Consider the following 22,389-nt stretch of genomic DNA (forward strand, 5'->3'; position numbering starts at 1 on the left):
AAATGTAATGAAGCCATAACTGCATAGCATTTTATCATTCATTTATTCAGCATTACTCAAATATTTTTAATTTTTAAGCTTCTGTCTCTTCCACCTCAGGTATGATACACACACACAGCTAGGCAGGCAAAAAATATCAGATACTAATACTAATCTGTTTGTCTATCTATACATGACCACACAGCATACAAATCAGAAAAAGAAAGTAGCCAAAGGAATGAAAGGCAAGAGGGAAGTAAATTAGTTGGACCCCATACACAGAGTAACAGCTTGAAGCAAACTGAGGTAGAAGGGGAAAAACTGGTTTAAAAAAAGAGGAGTGAAGGTTGCACAACTCTGTGAATATACAGAAAAACACTGAATTGTATGCAATTAAATAGGTGAATTGTAAGGGTACGTGAATTTTATCGCAATAAAGTTGTTACCTAAAAACGGGTGGGAAGGTGGGGACGAGGAAGACGATAAAAGTTAAAAAAAAAAAAAAAGGCCAGGCGTGGTGGCTCATGCCTTTAATCCCAGCACTCTGGGAGGCCGAGCAAGGTGGGCAGATCACGAGGTCAGGAAATCAAGACCATCCTGGCTAACACGGTGAAACCCCGTCTCTACTAAAAATACAAAAAAATTAGCCGGGAGTGGTGGCCAGCACCTATAGTCCCACCCATTGGAGAGGCTGAGGCAGGAGAATGGCATGAACCTGGGAGGCGGAGCTTGCAGTGAGCTGAGATTGCACCACTGCACTCCAGCCTGGGCAACAGAGCGAGACTCCATCTCAAAAAAAAAAAAGTAAAGGAAAAAAAAAAGGAATAACAGTCAGGAAACACAGTGATATGAAGGGAAAAGGTAAAGATAGGTACAAATGGAAGAGTTAGGACTGAAAATAGAAGTTCACAATCTCTCACCACAATTACTGAAATCTGGTTAAGCTGCGAAAACTCAGTTCTCCCTGACTCATTTGGCAGCAAACTCTACCCATATCTGTACTCATTTGGCAGAACAACTTACTCAGAATTGACTTTACATTATGCAGATTCTTTGTTATTTACTTGAATTGACTAGTCATGATTTGCTGCAGAAATATTAAGATGTTTGATTATAACATGCTCCCCCAAACTCTGAAAAGGGAGTTAAGATTAGATGTATATGCACTATATTACCTTTCAAAAATTGCTAAAACCTAAATTCCAAAACACATTGATTCCAAGGATCTTGGTATAATACTACGGTCCTGTAGTTGAAAAGATAGAAAAGTGGGAGCAACATGAAAGCACAAAGTAAAAAGTTGATGGGACCTAAAATGAGAAGGAGATGAAGGCAGAAGGACAATGCAGAGAAGTGGCCTAGCCAAAAACCAGAGAAAAAAGGTCCTCACATTTTACCCTCAGTTTCCTGAACCTACATTTGTATTCAATAAACTGTGAAAGGATGTCAGAATTCACAAAAGAAAGAAGAAAAGTTAAGGATTCAATAAAAATTCGAGTGTCTTACTTTTCTAATTCTTCAGGATCAAATTTCCACCAAGTTTCAGGTTCATGAAACTCTACTCTGTATCCTTTTCCTATGGCCTACACAAAGGAAAGGAAGAAAACAAAAACCCAGAGAAGTACTTCTTAAAGTAAAAAGAAGGCAGACAGTTAAATTTCATTTCGACAATACTATACACTTGCTCGACCAAGAAAAATGACGCTTTATAAAATAATATGGTTTATAACAGTTAAGACTATTTAACCGGATAAATTTTGATTACTATTCTCAAGGAATAGTAATTCCTTAAGATTACTATCCTTAAGGAAAGTCAAAACAATATGAGGCTGGGCGTGGTGGCTCATGCCTGTAATCCCAGCACTTTGGGAGGCTGAGCACGGCAGATGGGCTGAGCTCAGGAGTTCGAGACCAGCCTGGCCAACATGGTGAAACCCTGTCTCTACTAAAAATACAAAAATTAGCTGGGCATGGGGGCAGGCACCTATAATCTCAGCTACTCAGGTGGCTGAGGCAGGAGAATCGCTTCAACTGGGGAGGCGGAGCTTGCAGTGAGCCAAGATGGTGCCACTGCACTCCAGCCTGGGTGACAGAGCGAGACTCCGTCTCAAAAAAACAAACAAAAATTAACAAGATGAACATGTTCCTTAAAAAACATCATTCACAATTTTTTTAAAAACTAAGCAAACCAACAAACCTCTTTAGAAAACAAAGGACAAATGTTTTAATAATCAAGATCCAACCAGCCAAAATTTTAGAATGTGAAAAAATTGACAAGAATAAAAAATAAAAACTTTCTCATGTTTCATATTTACCACTTCCACATATGGCTTCATTTCCCAAGCTTGTATATTAGTGTTATCTATTATAACTGGAGATCTTCCCTGATCGATAGCTTGTTTTGCTGAAATAAAATATAAATTTAAAAATAAAAAAACAAATTAGGTTAAAACACACAAAAGTTAAACATTTATTATTAAGAAATGTACTACGTCTCTGTACTTAAAACCAAAACTGTGCAATCTCTTCAGTCAGTATCATGAAAAAAAGAACTCCACTAGATTGAAAGGGAATTAAAGGACACAACCATATGCCAGGTGCATTCTCCAGACTGGATGCTGGCTTTGACAAACTGGCTCTGAAAGGCATTTTGCTGAACTTACAGCTAATAAAGGCTTCAAGTCTAGGACTAACTTTCACTTATGGGAAATATAAGAGATGAACAATTTACATCTGAATATAGACTAAGTAAGAGAAGAGGTGAAAAATTATTTTGACACGGAAGGATGGAGGTTATTAAATGAAAATGGCAAGTTACAAGACAATAGTTAAATATGATCCTATTTAAGTCAAAAGATAGAGCTGGGGAAGACTTATGGAGATATTAAAATTGGTCGCCTGTAGGTGGTAAGAATATTTTCATTTAATATTTTATCTGTATTTTCTCTTTTTTGGGAAAGTTACCGCAGATGATTATCTGTATTTTCTAATTTTCTACAATGTACAAATAATGCTTTTGAAGTAAGGCTTATGTTTTTGAAAAGTTATGGATTTAAGTCATTACTTACCAGCAAAACTTTATATGCCAAGTAGCTAAAAATCATAGTTCAACTGACTTTGTGGATATTTCTTAGAACTATGGTCCTCAAATTGTGAGTTGCTGTAGAATGGAACTTTTCTGAACTATTATCTCCCATCCAAATGCCATCTTTTGCACTATGAGATAAGAATCACTGTCACAAGGCTGGGTGTGGTAGCTCACACCTATAATCCCAGCACTTTGGGAGGCCAAAGCAGGTGGATCACCAGAGGTCAGGAATTCAAGACCACCCTGGCCAAAATGGCAAAACCTCATCTCTATTAAAAATAAAAAAATTAGCCAGGTGTGGTGGTATGCGCCTGTAGTCCCAGCTACTTGGGAGGCTGAGGCACGAGAATCACTTGAACCTTATGAAGTGGAGGTTGCTGTGAGCCAAGATGACGCCGCAGCACTACAGCCTGAGCAAAGAGTGAGACTCTGTCTCAAAAAAAAAAAAAAGGCCAGGCATGGTGGTTCACACCTGTAATCCTAGTCCTTAGGGAGGCCAAGGCAGGTGGATCACAAGGTCAGCAGTTCAAGACCACCATGGCCAAGATGGTGAAAAGCCATCTCTACTCAAAATACAAAAATTAGCTAGGCATGGTGGCAGGCGCCTGTAATCCCAGCTACTTGGGAGGCTGAGCAAGAGAACTGCTTAAACCTGGGAGGCGGAGGTTGCAGTGAGCCAAGATCGCACCACTGCACTCCAGCCTGGGTGACAGAGCAAGACTCCGTCTCAAAAAAAAAAAAAAAAAAATTAAAAGGCTGACGCAAAACCAAACATCATATGTTCTCACTCATAAGTGGGAGCTAAGCTATGAGGATCCAAAGGCATAAGAATGACTCAACTCTGGAGACTCAGGGGGAAAGGGTGGGAAGGGAGTGAGGGATAAAAGACTACAAATAGGATGCAGTGTATACTGCTTGGGTGATGGGTGCACCAAAATCTTACAAATAACCACTAAAGAACCTACTCATGTAACCAAACACCTCTTGTTCCCCATTACACTATGGGGAAAAGAAGCCTGAAGCAAAATGCAAAGATGTGGAAATTTTCTCAGGAGTTAGAATTCAAACCACTAAGTTCAACAGAATGAAAACATTTATACAGATGTCTAGGACAGACAGAATGCTAAAGGTCAGTTAGAATAATCACTATGGGGAAATACATATTTGGGAGATGTCTCTAAATACCAAAAGAAATTTAGAATTTGGGTCATAAATAGGTGCCATCATCTATTAGTGCTAGCTTGGTGCTAGCACCAAGACACTATCATCTCCCACTGCTCCGTCTCTAATCATAGTGATCAAATCTTCCATTCAAAAGCTTATTAAAATTATTCTCCTAATGTCTGATAGGCTCACACATCCAAGGAGTTGTGTTCCAGAAAAGAAGTTTTATTGATCAAATAAATTTCTGATTTTACGAATGGGGAGATTATCTTCTTTCCATTATCATCCAATACCATAGTCTAGTACATTCCATGCAAAAAGAGCTCCTAAGTAAAAACATGTTTGAATACCCAAATAATGGGAATAGTTTTCTTAAACAAATGAACTATCATACTGTTAGAAAGAGAAGAACTACACTTTGGAGATGTTTTCGATTTTAAGTGTTCTAAAATTAATTTAGATTATTTCAATAATAAACATGAAGCAGACAGATTTTCATAGAATGGTGCCTAGCATTTAAATATATTCAAGTTCATATTTATTATTCTGGTTTAATAATAAGATACCATTATTCCATTTAGGAAGTATAATTAACATAATTCAAATGACATAAACATTTTAATGAAATATTCTGTACTAGTTTGTTTGTTTGTTTGTTTGTTGAGACAGAATCTTGCCCTGTCACCCAGACTGGAGTGCAGTAGCATGATCTCAGCTCACTGCAGCCTTGACCTCCCTGCCTCAAGCAATCCTCCTATCTCAGCCTCCCAAGTAGCTTAGACTACAGGTGTGCACCACCACACCTGGCTAATTTTTCTACTTTTTGTAGAGATGGGGTTTCATCATGTTGCCCAGGCTGGTCTCTAACTCCTGGGCTCAAGTGATCTGCCCGCCTCGGCCTCCCAAAGTGCTGGGATTATAGGCATGAGCCACTGCACCCAGCTATGCCAGTACTGCAAAGAGAAAAAAAATGTCCCACGCAAATAAACTTACTAGTTCACCAAAGGTATACTGGCTCTGCCCTGTCTATTCATTCAACTTATCAACTAATCTTGCTCCCCTTACCTTTAGGCCAGTAACTCCAAACATTTGCAGAATTGCAATACCATCATTATTTGATTTGAGCAAAAATGTTCTATGGCATTAAAAAAATAAAAAAATTAATATTTTTTTAGACTGCTATGCCACCCTCTAATATATTTGGAGAAATTCTAGAGCGTTATAAAATAAATACTAGGAAACAGTCTTATGATCAAACTTATCTGATGTTTAAACATTCTTGTGAAACTATAAATTGTAACAGCGTGAAAACTTTTAACTCGAAACCATCCTCAGCCAGGCACTGTGGCTCATTCAAAATTCTACAAAGTTTTTTTAAAAAATAGCTGGGTGTGCTGGTACACGTATGTAGTCCCAGCTACCTGCCTGTAGTCCTAGTTACTCAGGAGGCTGAGGCAGGAGGATCCCTTGAGTCCAGGAATTCGAGGCTGCACTGAGCTATGATTGTGTCACTACGCTCTAGCCTGGGCAACAAAGCAAGACCCCATCTCTAAAACACACACAAACATCCTCACTGAAATTCCTTACTGTATTTGACAATTAAAAAGAAAAGCATTACTATTTTTCTTGTATATATTATACTTTAGGGCAACCCTAGTTGGCAGCTTTGAGAGAAGTTCTTCATTACAGAAGAATTCCATTAAACATGGAAGGAATAACTAAACTAAAAATCATCACTTTGCAATTCTGAATGAAATAACTGACTCAGGAAACAATTTATTATTGGATAAAACCATCAGATATAAGGTTAATAGGGAACTTGACAGCAGACAGAGGGAAGAGGTTGTCCCTGTGCAGCTACTGATTAAGCTCACCATTACTAAGAACAGGACAACCAAATATCTGCTTGCCAAAAAAAAAAAAAAAAAAATGTTGAACCTAATCAAGCCTCTAATCTAGAGCTAATTTCCATTCACAGAAAACAAAGAAGAGGAGCAAGTTAAACGGTTAACACCAAGAAGCAAATAGACAACTACAGCATGTGGAACTTTCTACAGGACAAACAACATAGTTTCTGCAACAAGTTAATGGTATGAGAGTTAAAAGAAGGAACATGCTATGGATTAACTTAATTAAATAAAACAAAATGCATTTTGAGGACTTCGTTTGGATCCCAATTCAAACAAAATAACTGTGAAGAGATTTTTTCGAACAACAGAGGAGATTCAATTACACACTGGGTTACATGATCTGAAGGAACTGGCATTTTTTTAAATGTGTGATAACGGCACTGAAGTGAAAGATGTGATTAGTAAAAAAGTTATTTTGAAATGTATAAAGTATGATGTCTAGAATTTGCTTTAAAAAGAGAAAGGGGTACAAACAAAAAGATAAAAGCCCATATACCAAAATCTCAATACCTGATAATTCTGGGTGATGGGTCTATGAGGTTCATTACAGTCTCTTTAATCTGTTTAAAATTTTTCATAATAAAAGCTATTTGTTTAATCATCAATCCATTCTTTTAAAATAACATAGCATATGTATTTACTTATAGTTCAGATCAACAGTTTTCAATTCTGACTATACATCAGAATCGTCTGGAGAAATTTCAAAACAAAAAGTATCAATGTTTAGGCCCCACCCCAGATCAATGAAACCAAAATATCTAAGGCTGAGGCCAGGCACACTTTTTGTCTGTTTTTTTTTTTTTTTTTTTTTTTTTTTTGCTTTTTTTTAAAGTCCCCAAGAAATTCAAAAGTGTAGCCCAGGTTAAGAACCCCTATTAATGATAAACAGAAATTGACCCATGTCCGCTAAAAAATGTATTAAGTAGGTTTCTTGTAGAGCAATATCAATGAGAAAAACTTTTAATATTCACAACCAGTATATTAAGCCTTGGAAAACATTAGCATTATTCTCGGGGAAATAACTTTGGGACTACATAACAATGGTACAGATTCAAAGTTCTCTGAATTTACTCATCAAGTATAAAATAAAGCCTCTTAAAATATCCCATGCTGCTATTATTTTACCAGCTTATACTGATAAACTATTTACAGTTTACAAAGCGTTTTATCTAAATTCTCTGCTTTTCACAAAAACCCTGATCAGGTAGGGCAAGTATAATTATCACCACCTCTAACAGATGGAGAAATTAGGTCTCAAAGCTATTTAAACGGCTTGCCTACAGTCATTCAGCTGGTAAAAACCTAAGCTGAAAATAAAATCTAGGTCTTTTGACTCCTAGCCAAATATTCTATCCTGGGACACTTAGCCCAAAACAAACCTCTGTTCTGGTTCCAGTCATGGGCATCACCAAGTTGATTAACATTATACCTGTACCCATCTTGATGGTGAAAATAGTCATCAGTGCTGAACACAATGCCATCACGATTCTGACCAAGCAGAATTCTGTTAATAAAAGAAATCATAAAGGTGCCATTTACAAAATCTATAACCATCAGAAATAAACTATCAGAAATAAATATAACCAAGTGAAATAAATCACACAGGAAAGGTTATTAAATGGATTTCTGATACTTACCTGAAAGTATATCACGAACAGACCAGCACAAGAGCTGAATAATCTTACAAAGATTTCAGATTTCAAATCACTTTACACTTAAATCTACACAATTACAGATGCTAACAGAAACTCTTTTTTTTTTTTTTTTTAGATGGTCTCTGTCGCCCAGGCTGGAGTGCAGTGGCACGATCTTGGCTCACTGCAACCTCCGCCTCCCGGGTTCAAGTGATTCTCCTGCCTCAGCCTCCTGAGTAGCTGGGATTACAAGCATGTGCCACCATGCCTGGCTAATTTTTGCATTTTTAGTACAGACAGGGTTTCACCATGTTGGTCAGGCTGGTGTTGAACTCCTGACCTCTTGATCCACCTGCCTCGGCCTCCCAAAGTGCTGGGATTACAGGCATGAGCCACCGTGCCTGGCCATAACAAAAACTTTTTGAAGCAGCATTTGTATTGCAACTTTTTAAAACATTATTTACCCAATCTCAAAATTATATCAACTATTATCCATGTTTTCACTTTAGTATATTTTTATTTGCCTCAATCTAGTGCAACAGGTAACCTAAAAAGCAAGTAAGCCTAAGCAAGCAATTCATTTAGAAAAAACCATATGTGACTCTAGACAGCTTTAATAAACTCATTTCCATGAAGCATATATGATCCTCTAGTGAAAGTCGGAAATAGTTGGAGGCTTAAGGTTATGGAACAATCTGTGATCCTCCAAAGTATAATCAAACTTTAAATTTTTAAGAACTTAAGTCGTTAAATGAAATTATTAAACACTAAATAAAAAACTCTCAGTTCAGGTCAATGATAATCAAGCTTTGTTTTGAAAACGATACTGCCTTAAATTGACAAGTACAGCAAGATTAACAAGTACTCAGAACTCTCATTACCAATGACTCATGAAAGAAATTGGGAGTGTGCTATGATAGGGAAAATGCAGCAAGATAATGATTTGGATCCAAGAACAACAACGAGAGTATTTTGTTGTTTCTCTCCTCTCCTTGAACCATTAGGCATTTGGATATCACTGTATAATTTTGAGGGGATTGGTGGGATGGAAGGTGGTATATTAATAGAAGGAATTGAGAGTAAAAGAATATTGGCCTGGAATGATTCAAGCTTACTTACCTCTCACTAAAAAAATAGTAGGAAGGGTTTAAACTATTAAGATGACAAGTGTCATCTCTCCATCCCTCAGCTTATAATGGTATCATATACAGTTCTCTCCCTCAATATCCATGGGAGATTGGTTCCAGGACCACACTTGCTGCTCAAGCCCTTGATATAAAAATGGCTGTTTGCATATAAACTATGCACATCCTCCCATACACTTTAACTCATCTCTGGATTATTTATAATACCTAATACTCTACAATGTGAATATTATGTAAATAGTTGTTATACTGTATTGTTTAGGAAATAACAAGGAAAAAAGTCTGTACATTTCAATACAGATGCAATATTTTTTCTCAAATACTTTCAGTCCAAAGTTCGTTGAATTCACTGATGTGGAATCAACAAATATGGAGGGCCAGTGGTGTATTTTATAAAATCACTTGTATCAAAAGAAAACAATTTAAGTATGTATAGGTTGGTGTGAACGTAATTGCAGTTTTTGCCATTAAAATGCCAATTAAAAACTGTGATTACTTTTGCACAAACCTCTATTTCCACTTACAGAATTACAGTTCAAATCACTTCAGACAAACCAAATGTAAATTAATGGGTTGGGTTGTGTGTTTGCTTTTTGGGAGACTGGAGTTGGATTTCTTTTTCAAGCAGCCATGATTTATCCAAAACATGTCTATCTGACATATTTGGCATCTTACTGCTTATACAGATAACCTAGAATATGAAAATGCCATGATATTAGCATTCTAAAGCAAAACTCAATCACCCAAAAAGAGATTTTGATTGTAACTGATCATGTGACATCTAATTATGTTCAACAGTACCAGAAATCCAGATAACACCTTGTCTAGATACTTTATGCTTCCTTTTTTGTTTTTTTTTTTGTTTCGTTTTGTTTTGTTTTTTCCATTCTATTACTTTATTAGCAGGTCATTTCTTTTCTTTTCTTTTTTTTTTTTAGACAAGAGTCCGACTCTATTGCCCAGGCTGGAGTGCAGTGGTGTGATCTCGGCTCACTGCAACCTCCACCTCCCAAGTTCAAGTGGTTCTCCTGCCTCAGCCTCCTGAGTAGCTGTGACTACAGGCACGTGCCATCACGCCCGGCTAATTTTTGTATTTTTATTAGAGATGGGGTTTCACCATGTTGGCCAGGCTAGTCTTGAACTCCTGACCTCAGGTGATCCTCCCACCTCAGCCTCCTAAAGTGCTGGGATTACAGGCGTGAGCCACCGTGCCCGGCACAGGTGATTTTTAAGATGTTAATAATATCATTCTACATGACAATCATATTTTTTGTATCTAAAAAACGGTTTAAATTTTCTCAAAATAAAAGGTGGGGGAGCAATACACCAATTTATATCATTAAAACAAGTCAACAATACATATGAACAAATCTCTATAAAGAACATTTTCTTAAATATATAAATCATAACTATAGTAAATAAGTTTAACTTGAAAAGACTTTTCCTCCCAGGCAGCATAGACTGTTTATGCATATTTTTCAAATTCCGTGAATTACTTCAAACCATGAAGCTTTATTTTATGGACTTAAAAAAACACCTATATGAATCTAGGAATATCTGAATGTCTTATCAAGCCTCTAAAGCAAAAATAAATTATTTAAGAACATCAGTATTTTCAAAATTCTTAGACTGTCAGAACTCTCAAGTCAGGTACTAAAATGGATTCTCAGAATGTCAAAATTTAGAAATGTGAGTAAGTCAAATATCTAATTTAAAAAAATCAAATCTGGGCTCATTGGCCACTTGATTTCTATTTTTTCAAAACAATAGCTATCTTTTTGAGAGCCTATTTTATGTCAAACATTTTACATAAATCTATGACCTCATTTAATCCTCATAAAAGCCTGCCAATTTGATAATAAACTAATCCAGGAGAAGAAATAATTTTGGCAAGTTAGATGGTAGTGGGAGAACTAAGATAAAGCACCTCCTTGACCCCAAAACCAAAGGCCTCCAATGATCCCTGCCTCCTGGTACTCACAACCTTGCATCCTCTTATCCTGCAGTATGCTTGGATTTAGTCCCTAGCTTCTAAGGAACAGAATATGATACAGGTGATGGGATGTCACTTCGGAGATTACTAAAAAAAAAAAAAAAAAAGTAGCTTCTGTCTTAGACTTGAGCTTGCATGCTTTCTCTTTCACTTTGAAAGAAATCAGCTGTCTTGTGAATGGACAGAGGCCAAGTAGCAAAGAAATGAGAGAAGCCTCCAGTCTCTAGCCAGCAAGGAACTGAAGTCTTCAATCCAACATAGCTCACAAGGAACTCAGTCCTGTCAACAATCTTGAGAGAGCTCTTAGAACCAGATCCTTCCCAAATCAAGCCTTCAGACCAGAAACAGTCCTAGCCAACATCTTGATCACAGCATTCTTAGAGACACTGAACCAAAGGCACCCAGGTAACTATAACCAGAGTCCAGACCTACAGAAACTACGAGGCAATATATGTTTGTTGCTTTAAACAACTAAGTTTTAGGGTAACCTGTTATACAGCCTTGAGTAATCAATGTACTCTATACTTATAATTTCTCACGTAAGAAACAAGTAAACCAAGAGAATCTGTTCCCAAAACAAGGCCTACAAGAGAGTCCATTTTCATGGTTTGGTTTTTAAATTTCTAAGAACTGAGCATTACTTTAATACTTTCATGTGCATTTACAAGTGATTTTCAAGAAAAATACAAAATCTAAGTAAAACTGACACATCATGAACACTTTTCCTCCTTATCTACTGAGTGCCTTTATATACTTCCTATCCTGAGACTACTTTACTGGGGTAATTCAATCTCTAAACACTCCCTGAATTAAGAATCAAGGGACCTATATGAAGAAAGACAAGTCTTTCCTCTGGAGTTAAGGAGACCTACCTCCTTCAAAAGAAGGGAGAAAAAAAAGTCTCCTCCCATCTCTCTCTAAACTACGGTAAGTATATTCATTTCTGTAACTTCTATAACACCACAAACGTAAAACAACAGGAATTTATCTTACAGTTCTGAAGGTCAGTAGTCCAAAATCAGTTTCACTGAGCTAAAAACAAAGTGTGTGCAGACGTGTGTTCCTTCTGGAGGCTCTACAGAATATGTTTCCTTGCCTTTTCCAGCTTCTAAAGGTTAGCTGCACACCTGGGCTTATGGGATGTTCCATCATCTTCAAAACCAGCAGTGCAGCATCTTCTCTCTTGACCTTTGCTTTTGGTCTTAACCCTTCTCTGACTAATTCCTCCTGCCTCCCTCTTATTAAGAACCTTTGTGATCACACTGGGCCAATCCAGTTATCCAGGACAGCCTCCCCATTGCAAGATCCTTAATCAAATTTGCAAAATCCAATTTACCATCTAACGCAACATATGCACAGGTTTTAGGGATTAAAACATGAGTATCTTTGGAGGGGTACATTATTCAGCCTACCATTGCAAATATCCACAATAATCTGTAAAACAGATGATAACAACAAAAAACTAATTTCTTAAATTCCCTCACTTTTCATTTATTAGGGGGTAAGAAAGATCCCACTGTTTTACTCATTCTCTCAAATTACTTTTAAAAACCTCTATTTTCTTCCAGTTTCCTTGCTGGTTTTGTTTTTACTCTTAGTCCTTTATCCATCTAGAAGTTATTTTTGTGAATGATTTAAGATAGGGGCTTTAAATATTTTTCCAGACTGACAATCAAATATCCTATTACCATGTATTGAATATTTTGCCCTACTAATATAAAATGTCATTTCATCAAATATTAAATTCTTTTATATGTAGGTTATGTTTCTGGATTCTCTTTTCTTTTTTCTTTTTTTTTTTTTTTTTTAAGACAGAGTCTTGCACTGTTGCCCAGGCTGGAGTGCAGTGGTGTGATCTCGGCTCACTGCAACCTCTGCCTCCCGGGTTCAAGCGATTCTCCTGCCTCAGCCTCCCAAGTAGCTGGGACTACAGGCACATGCCACCACGCCCAGCTCATTTTTGTATTTTTAGTAGAGATGGGGTTTCACAATGTTGGCCAGGATGGTCTCGATCTCTTGACCTCATGATCCACCTGCCTCAGCCTCCCAAAGTGCTGGGATCACAGGGGTGAGCCACCGGCACCCGGCCTTTTTTTAAAAAAAAAAAAATAGAGACAGGGTCTATGTTGCCCAAACTGATCTCACACTTCTGGCCTCAAGTGATGCTCCCCACCTCAGCCTCCCAAAGTGCTGGGATTACAGGTGTAAGCCACCACACCTAGCCTGTTTCTGGGTTCTCTAATTTTATCTATTTGTTCTTTTGCTAATAATTGCAAAATTTTAACTATAGTAGTTTCTAAATTTTAATAGCTGGTGGGATAAGTCTCGTTTTTTTAAACTGTCCTTGTTATAGTTACATACCAAACAAACTTTATAGGCTTCTCAAATTCATACAAAAATTCCTTTGGGATTTTGGTTAAAGTTTCACTGAATTTATAAATCAATTAGGGGGAAAAGTGACATCTTTATCGGGCTATCCTACCCATAAACACCCTATGGGCCAAAACTATGGCCAAGGCTATTATGGCCTACTGTCTCTCTCTCTCAGAATATCATCCGACATCTTGAATACTTACAATGTTAGAGACATGCTGATTGAGATGTGGGCAAAGACCAAATTAAGTAAGAAGGGGACTTGAACACTACCTCCAAAGAATATGAATTCTATCCAACTGCCTACACTCATTACCACATACCAAACATAAGCATTACTAATTTTTTTTTTTTTTTTTTTTTTTTGAGACAGGGTCTCAATCTGTCACCCAGGCTAGAAAGCAATGGCACGATCATGGCTCACTGTAGCCTCGGCAGCTCAGCCTCCCAAGTAGCTGGGATACCCAGGTTATCTAGGCTGGTCTTGAATTCCTGGGCTCAAACAATCTGCCTGCCTTGGCCTCCCAAAGTGCTGGGTTTTCAGGTGTGAGCCATCATGCCCAGCCAGTCTTTTAATTTGGTCCTCCAATCAGCTCAACTCTGATCTACCAATTTTCACTCTATTATTTTGTCAAAGCTTGTTTTGAATGTGAACTCCTATATGAAGCCATTCCTCACCAAAGAATATATGACTTTATATCTAATTCCAAATAACCAACACCAGTTCACTCAAAACGTGTTGACCTAAAGAGGTACAGACCAGGATCCTTGAAGTCAGGAGTCACGTATAAGACTACACAACCATTAAGCATTACAGTGAAGGCAAGGGAAAAACATACTATAATTTTATTGCTAGTTTGAGCTCTTACTAGTTTTTGTAACTTCCAAATCACTTAACCTCAACTTCCTTTAGCCTCTGCTCCTTCTATAAAATGAAAAAACAACCCATTGCACAAGATTTTTATATATGAAAATACTCTGTAAATTGTGAATCATAATACGAATGGTACTTGTTGGTACTACATACAACTTTCATTCTTATATATCTATTTTTCAAATAAATATACATATTATATCTAATCACCTCTACCATCTCCCACTACAATGTCTCCTTTAAATTCTATCGAATTTCCACTACTTTATTCACCTTTAATTTCAACATACTCCAATATGTTGTCTCAAATCTAACTTTTCTTCCTTAGGTTTCTTCTATACCCACTCTTAGTCAAGTGGTCCTAACTAGCAGACTCTTTTATCCAGTTTCCAAATTTCAGTTATTTATTGTCTCTGATGGTATATCCCAAATCTAGAAGACAGCCCATGTTTGTGAGACCTCACTCCTAACTTCTATTATTATAGAGGTGAAATTTCATCTTCTCTACAAAATCCTCACTAAAGTAAAAGGAATCAAAATACAAAGACCAAAATTTAATTCTGGAATGAATTAATTCATTCACAAAGATCACAGTTTATAATCTAGCTTGAAATATCACAAATTAAATCTTTCTCTAGTGTCTTTTCTCTGAAAAAGATGTTTATTTAGGTTTAGATTGTCTTGTTAGTAATATAAAACATTTGCAAAATGGTTTCTTGGACCTCTCCATCCTCACCCAAAGATATCAACAAATTTTCTTTTTCTCCTTGTCCGGCACAAATCTTGAATCATCTTATATAAACTCAAGATAATTTGTACTGCTTTCTTTACACTATTTTTTCACAACTGCATAAACATATTCAAGTGCATCAATAGTTTAAAAATGTAAACAAAAAAAGGAATTTGAAATATCTTGTAATACAATAAACCACCAACAGTTCTAACACCAATTCAGATATTACTCACTTCAAACTCCTGAATTTTAAGAAATCAAAAAAGGGTTCCTTCTGCCAATCAATGGTATGAACATGGCACAGTGCTCAACACATTCAAAATTCCTTTCCTTGGGTCATCTCATTTGATTCCCAATTCCAGAAAAAGTAAGTATCATTTATTCCATTAACAGAGAGCAAAACTTGCCCAAGGTGAAAAAGGGAAATAACTGAGTCAATACCCAAATTTTCTCTTTTTCTCACCTCCAACTGAACTTGAAAAACTCAAATTTTCTAACACTGAGTCCAACTTTCCTTGAACAGCTGACTCAAAAGGGTAGGCCAGGACAGTTCTCAAGTAGCATTTGCTTTCATCACTGCCATAATTATACGTAGTGTTATCTATTTTTAAAGCCCTTAGCAGAATCTAAATATAAACATATGCCAATTCTCCTTTCTTCTATCAGAAAAGATTTTTAAATAGTTACACTGTCAGATGCTATTCTCAAGTGTAGCAAATTAAAGATTTTCTTCTACTAGAAACATAAAAGCACTTGTCAGTGATTACAAGTATCATTATAGTTCTAACATTTTTATTTCATTTTTTAGAGACAGGGTCTCACTATGTTGCCCAGGCTGGTCTCAAACTCCTGAGCTCAAGTGACTGGTCCACCCTGGCCTCCCAAAGTGTTGGGATTACATGCATGAGTCACTGCAGCCGGCGACAAATATCATTTATAATTTTTAAATAATGAATTACCAAGTATTCAGTTGGTATCCTTTACTTACCGAGACAATGTTGTTTTCCCAGAACCAGGCAGACCTCTTAAAAGAATAAGTAACTTCTGCAATTTATTTAACTTTTCCTCTTGAAACTGCTGGTTCACAAACCTGTCTGTTCCATTATGCTTGTCCATACAATGATCTTTCCAGCATCTTTCTCTGACTTCACAGAAACCATTACTCACATATCGATCTTGCATACTGCAGCCATTTCCAGAGGGATGAACACTACTCCTATTCTCACTACAGTCAGTATATTCATTGTTCTGATCAAAAGTCATGCAATTCCAGTTAACATGACAATTATTTACATAATATCCATTTTGTATCTGAGAGTCATCTTGGGCTTGGAAAATATTTGATGGTGGATTTGGTGGACCACTGAATCTCTGAATGTTTAAATGATAGTTCAAACTGGGAAGAGGGGGACCATAGGGCACTATAAAAGGATATACTGACTGCCATTCAGGCCTGAAAGAAGTAAATGAAGTGTCACAAAATGTAGGTATTACTTGTCCATTACAGGGATATTTGTCTGGCTCATTCCCCAAGTTCTGCTGATAATCACAATGTGATGGCATAGCTTTATTACTAAGATCTTTCTTTTCTTCATCAGGTTTTAAGAGACCATTATTATGACCCTCATAAAATGGAACAAATTGTTCCTGAGAAGGTTCAGATTCTTTACAACTGTTCTCAAAACCATCTTTTTCCTTTTCAAGCTCTTCAATTTCTTTGTAAAACTGGAATAATTCATTGTCAATCTCTGATTTTTCAGAGTTAAATTTCTGTTTCTCTTTTTGTCCTCCTCTGTCATTTATACCATTTAGAACATGTGCCTCATTCCTCCCTTCATTACGTTTCTTTTTCTCAGGGGGTTTGTAAATGGGTCCTATAAATGCTTTACTTGTGCTATATATCTCATCGTCTGCGGATACTAATGGAGGACGTGCTTCCTGTAAAACCTGTGAATCAATGGATTCAATAACATCTGGTCTATTACCAGGCATCTCATCATGCAAAGGTCTATGCAAATCTGTAGTTTTGATTTTGTTCTCCTGCAAATAACTATGTCCTCTGACATCAATGATGGTCACAGGGACCCAATCATTTCCAGTTTTCTCTTGGATTCTGTGAAAATCAGCATTACTATGATTGTGAAAAACATACGACTCTGTGGTTGACTTCAATTTTTTACAGCGTGGCTCACTCGTTACTTCTTCTCTAGGTCCCAAGAATTTACCTTCAATTTCACCATAAGACATCTGAGAAATAAATAAATCATACAATTACTAGCTAATATATTAAAAATCTAAATAAAATTTTCTTCAAAAACAAGAAATTAGACAAAGACATTTAAATTTGTGATATATTTAATGGTAACAATTTCCCAAAATACCAGTCACTTTCATAACCACTTATTATTTAAGTACAGTCACAACATGGTGGTTTATGGGAGGGATCTCGTTGAATATCCTTTTTGAAAAATATATATATATGTATATATACATATATATCTCTCTCAACTTTAAACGATCCATTTCTGAATTTAGAAGACCTAAAAGATTTAAGTATGTCTGTAAAGTTGAATCAGTAATATATATTTTTATGATATAGATACACAATTGTGTATTTAAAAGGAGAGTGAAACCGCCAACACCAAATTAACACATACTCAAAATGGCTGTGATACACTGCATCCTAAGCTTTCCTTACTTAAAACCACTGTGTTTTTGAGAGTAAATAGCTCCAATTCTCTCCCAAACCTCAGACAACCAATCTCCTTAGCATCCAAATGTTAGATTAACTGAAGTGCCAGTCTTTGGAGACCCTTAACTGTGAGTAGTTAGCATAAAAGAGGTTCCTAAATGGGTATAGTGTGTTCATTTAAAAGGGGGGAAGAGATAACTTAAGTTGTAATGATGATAACGGAAATTTGTATAATAAAGAAATCTGGCAACTCCCAAAGTTCAAAGCGTTCATCTTTTCCGAATAATCTATCACGAAGATAAAATTTGCTTCCCTTTAGGCCTGGCAGAGTGGTTCAAGCCTGTAATCCCAGCACTTGGGAGGCTGAGGCGGGCGGATTGCTGCTTAGGAGTTCGAGACCAGCCTGGCAACATGGCCTAACTCCGTCTCTTAACAAAAATACAATAAATTAGCCGGGCATGGGGGCGCGCACTTGTGGTCCCAGCTACTCGGGAGGCTGCGGTGGGAGGATCGCTTGAACCCGGGGGGGGCGGAGGTTGTGGTGAGCCGAGATGGCGCCACTGCACTCCGCCTGGGCGACAGAGGGAGACCCCGTCTTGGGGGGGGGGGGCGGTTACTTCCCCTGAAATGCCTTAGGGACCTCAAAGTACAGCCCAGAGGCCTATTCCACCCAATTCTTCGTTGTGCCACTCTCTGGTGTTCCTAACACGAGAGAAAGAGAAATGGACAAAAAGGCGAACTACAGAATGATGCAAGCAGGCCACAGAGCTGGAGGAAGACAACTGCGGAGAACGCCAAAAGGCCTCCTCTCGGTTTCTCCTTTCCTCATTCGAAATGTGTCAGAAAAGTCCCGAAGAAAAGCAACCGGGTTGCGTTAATAAACCGCGTGATCTATACACTATCCGAGCCCCATGCCTCCAGACTTCCAGAGTGAGCGACCCGGGCAAAAGTGCGTCACCCAGCTTTTTTGTCCCAGTGCAGACACGCTCAGGTCCTGTCCAGGAATTCTGGAGGTCTCTGAGGCGCAAAAGTTCACACAGAGCTTACGTCTACGTTTACAGCTAATCTAAACAGTCCAGTCAAGAAGTGAAAGCGAAAAACACCACCACCGCCCCACCCTCACCTAAAACGGGGTGTCTACTCACCTTACTCTACCCCTACGCATTGACCTTTACCTCCCAATAAAACCTTCTTTTAGGAAGACACGAACCTCTGTGAAGGTGAAAGAAAAGCGGAGACAGCACTAAAGCCGAGGTCTGGAGGGACTAAAAGCCCACCTCTCAGAATCGCGGTAACAAACCTCACCTCCGTACGCAAGATGGCGGTCACCTCTCGGTTACCCAGGCCAAAACTAGGCGTTTGCGCCAGGCATTGTGGGAATTGAAGTCCGACGTTCACACCGGCTCCGTAAACCTCACGGCACGGAGACTAGGTCTCCCAGAATCCATGGCGTGACAAACGCAGTAATTTGGCAACAAAAGTAGACCGGAATTAGTTCCTAGATCTGGAGCAGGGAAGTTATCTAAAAACACCAACTTTCGTTAAAAGAAAGCAGCGACCTCCTCTGGCGTTCACCCCCGAAGGAAAAAGGAATTTGAGAAACTGGCGCCCCCCAATAGATGTATAATCGGCTCTCAGTGCATGCTTCTTAGAGCTTTCTAGAAGACAACCAGCTGACTTTTCCAACGGAACTCCACAGTTGGTACCACAAATTTGCATTCCGGTCGTTTCTACGAAAGACCACCTGACGTAATTTTAGGCTCATGCTTTTCTGTGGAAGGACAGAATTACTGGGGCGCAGGTCCCCAATAACAGATAAAAATACTTATGAACAAAATCGTTTAGTGTCAGGTCGCTGTTTTGTTTTGTTTTTGGAAATACAGACCAATCACTGAGCTTTCCCATTAAAAGAGTCAATACGTGCAAAGCAAGTAGAACAGCGAGCTCCTGGTAAGAATAAGCGCTATGTAAGTGTTTGTTGCATTAAAAATAAATACAAACCAAACAACTGGCAGTCCTCAACTGAGGGCTCCTTTTCTCTTCCCACCACCTCTCCAACCCCTCCTCCCTCCATTGGTTCCCCATCCCCCATAATTTCAGGTCCTTGCAAGGAAAACTTACCATCTCTTCATATTTAAATAATTCTTTCTATGGATATGTACCCTTTTCCATCCCCAACGTGATAACAATTTCATTTGTTGTTAAAGTTACAGTCTGGAATATATACATTTGATTATTTAACTAACAGCCTTGTGATCAAGAGTGTTCACCAAAGCAACCCATCTTCTCAGAAAGAAATCTATCTCAAATACAGATTTCTACTACGACCTTTGTCTCCTCATAATTAAACTCATGCATCCTACTTTGAAACAACCACATTTACGTGAGGTTGTGGCGTTCTCAGTGTGTTACATCCGCAGGCACACTATACTAATTATAAGATAATATTAATCTTTGTCACCCCATCAAGGTATTGTCCTGTTTCTCCATGGCATATTTTCCCCCTTAAAACTAATAAGCAGCCGGGCGCGATGGCTCACACCTGTAATCTCAGCACTTTGGGAGGCTGAGGTGGGCGGATCACCTGAGGGCAGGAGTTTGAGACTAGCCTGGCAAACATGATGAAACCCCATCTCTACTAAAAATACAAAAATTAGCCGAGCATGGTGGCGGGCACCTGTAATCCCAGCTACTTGGGAGGCTGAGGCACGAGAATCGCTTGAACTCGGGAGGCGGAGGTTGCAGTGAGTCGAGATCAGGCCATTGCACTCCAGCCTGGGTGACAAGAGCCAGACTCCATCTCAAAAAAAACCAAAAACCAAAAAACAACAACAACAAAAAACTAATAAGCAATCTGTGAGGTTAAACTTTGAGACGAAGCAAATATCCTGCACCTAATCAAACTTTACCTTATGGTTCAGATTCCATAAATGTCGGGATTTTTTTTCCCCACCTCCTTCAAGCCTTCCACATTTGTCAATCCAGATGCTGCTATAGAGCAGAACCCTACTTATTTATTTATTCACTATCAGTATGAATTTATGGATTCCTTTTCTTCAGGGGGTTATACTCCATTGCTCTCCTTACTTATTTACTATTAATAGACTATTTTTAGGATGGTTTTAAATGCACATAAAAATCGAGCAAATGGTAGAGTTCCCATGTACCCACCCCCCCACACACACAGTTTCCCTTATTACTAACCTCTTACATTGTTACAACTAATGACCTAACATTGATACTTTAACATTAATTTGTTATAACTTATTATAACATATAATATGTAACATTAAGTTACATATCAGTTATATATTAGTTATATAACTTATTCATTATTCAACTTTCCTTCATTTTTACCTAAATGCCCTCTCTGTTCAAGGGTTCTATCCAGGATACCACCTTACATTTAGTTATCATGTTTCCTTAGGCTCCTTTTGGCTGCGACAATTTCTTAAATTTATTTTTTAATATCTTAAGCTTATTTTTGATGACGTTGACTTTTTTTTTTTTTTTTTTTAGACAGAATCTCGCTCTGTTGCCCAGGCTGGAGTGCAGTGGCACCTTCTCGGCTGACTGCAACCTCTGCTTCCCAGGTTCAAGAGATTCTCCTGCCTTAGCCTCCCGAGTAGCTGGGACTACAGGCGCCCACCAACATGCCTGGCTAATTTTTGTATTTTTAGTAGAGACGGGGTTTCACCATATTGGTCAGGCTGGTCTTAAACTCCTGCGCTCAAGCGATCCACCCGCCCTTACCTCCCGAAGTGTGGGATTACAGGTGTGGGCCACAGCGCCTGGCCATCCTTGACAATTTTGAGGAAAACTGATCAGGTATCTTGTAGCATGCTCTTATATTGGGATTTGTCTGATGTTTTTCGCAGCCTCCAGAACTGTGAGAAATAAGTTTGTTATTTGTTATTATTTTTATTTATTTATTGAGACAAGATCTTGCTCTGTCACCCAGGCTATAATGTAGTGGCACAAGCACGGCTCACTGCAGCCTCAACCTCCTGGTCTCAGGTGATCTTCCCACCTCAGCCTCCTGAGTAGCTAGGACCATCGGCATGCATCACCATGCCCTGCTAATCTTTGTGTGTTTTGTAGGGATGGGGTTTCACCATGTTGCCCAGGCTAAATTTTTCTTCCTTGTAAATTACCCAGTCTCTGCTATTTCTTTTATTTTCTCTTCTTTTCTTTTCTTTCTTTCTTTTTTTTTTTTTTTTTTGCCACTTCTGCTAGGGTGTCTGTTTGTTTGTTTTGAGGCAGGATCTCACTCTGTCACCCAGGCTGGAGTACAGTGGTGCCATTACAGCTCACTGCAGTCTCAACCTCACGGGCTCAAACGACCTTTCCCACTCAGCCTCCCAAGTAGTAGCTGGGACTACAGGTAAGTACCACCATGCCCAGACAATTTTTGTATTTTTCGTAAAGACAGGGTCTCACTATGTTGCCCAGGCTGGTCTTGAATTCCTGGCCTCAAGTAATATTCCTGCCTTGGCTTCTCAAAGTGCTGGGATTACAGGCATGAGTTGCCAAGCCCAGCAGAATGTGCTACTTTTTGTAGGAGCACAAAGATACTAAGATAGGGTGTTCTGCTCCTTCTCCTTTAGGGTGGAATATTGTAGGGGAGGGAAAAATAATTTGCTTCTACCCTTTGGTTCTCAGCTGAAACTCTGTAACTAAAGAAAAGTATACAGATTTATTTAACATACGTTTTAGACGACATAGAAACCTTCATAAGTTTATGAAGACCTGAAAAAATAGTTAAACCTGAGTGTTTTATACAAGGTTTGATGAAGAGAGGAGT

General features: G+C 38.2%; 1 protein-coding gene across 69 annotated transcripts in view, besides 5 other annotated features; it reads right to left on the reverse strand.

The window, feature by feature from the left end:
- The window catches only part of N4BP2L2 (NEDD4 binding protein 2 like 2), a 106,384-nt gene extending 87,403 nt beyond the window's left edge, over nucleotides 1–18,981 (reverse strand). For 7 of the 69 annotated variants that reach the window (NR_170382.1, XR_007063657.1, XR_007063656.1 and 4 more), the window contains exons 1-5: nucleotides 18,796–18,908; nucleotides 15,882–17,140; nucleotides 7,521–7,645; nucleotides 2,295–2,383; nucleotides 1,486–1,562 (exon numbers count right to left, since the gene is read on the reverse strand). Coding sequence is in view for 41 of the 69 variants with exons in the window: in NM_001387002.1 (NP_001373931.1) it covers nucleotides 1,486–1,562; nucleotides 2,295–2,383; nucleotides 7,521–7,645; nucleotides 15,882–17,140 (1,550 nt within the window). In the remaining 28 variants the exon portion in view is untranslated. Of the gene's footprint in view, nucleotides 1–1,485; nucleotides 1,563–2,294; nucleotides 2,384–3,047; nucleotides 3,196–6,651; nucleotides 6,702–7,520; nucleotides 7,646–15,881; nucleotides 17,141–18,730 lie in introns of those variants that run through there. The other 62 variants (NR_170381.1, NR_170383.1, NR_170387.1 and 59 more) reach the window with 44 other exon arrangements.
- Nucleotides 18,083–18,642: an enhancer, noted in NCBI's record as "H3K27ac-H3K4me1 hESC enhancer chr13:33112107-33112666 (GRCh37/hg19 assembly coordinates)". NCBI's record gives its function as "activates a minimal SCP1, AML or CMV promoter by ChIP-STARR-seq in naive H9 embryonic stem cells {active_cell/tissue: H9 hESC(naive)}" and the evidence as "EXISTENCE:reporter gene assay evidence [ECO:0000049][PMID:30033119]".
- Nucleotides 18,643–19,203: an enhancer, noted in NCBI's record as "H3K27ac hESC enhancer chr13:33112667-33113227 (GRCh37/hg19 assembly coordinates)". NCBI's record gives its function as "activates a minimal SCP1, AML or CMV promoter by ChIP-STARR-seq in naive H9 embryonic stem cells {active_cell/tissue: H9 hESC(naive)}" and the evidence as "EXISTENCE:reporter gene assay evidence [ECO:0000049][PMID:30033119]".
- Nucleotides 18,643–19,256: a biological region, named in NCBI's record as "H3K27ac hESC enhancer GRCh37_chr13:33112667-33113227".
- Nucleotides 18,817–19,066: an enhancer, noted in NCBI's record as "active region_7561". NCBI's record gives its function as "activates an Ori minimal core promoter by ATAC-STARR-seq in GM12878 lymphoblastoid cells {active_cell/tissue: GM12878}" and the evidence as "EXISTENCE:reporter gene assay evidence [ECO:0000049][PMID:35858748]".
- Nucleotides 19,097–19,256: an enhancer, noted in NCBI's record as "active region_7562". NCBI's record gives its function as "activates an Ori minimal core promoter by ATAC-STARR-seq in GM12878 lymphoblastoid cells {active_cell/tissue: GM12878}" and the evidence as "EXISTENCE:reporter gene assay evidence [ECO:0000049][PMID:35858748]".

Source organism: Homo sapiens, chromosome 13 (genome assembly GCF_000001405.40).
Source record: "Homo sapiens chromosome 13, GRCh38.p14 Primary Assembly".
In the NCBI taxonomy this organism is placed as follows: Eukaryota; Metazoa; Chordata; class Mammalia; order Primates; family Hominidae; genus Homo; species Homo sapiens.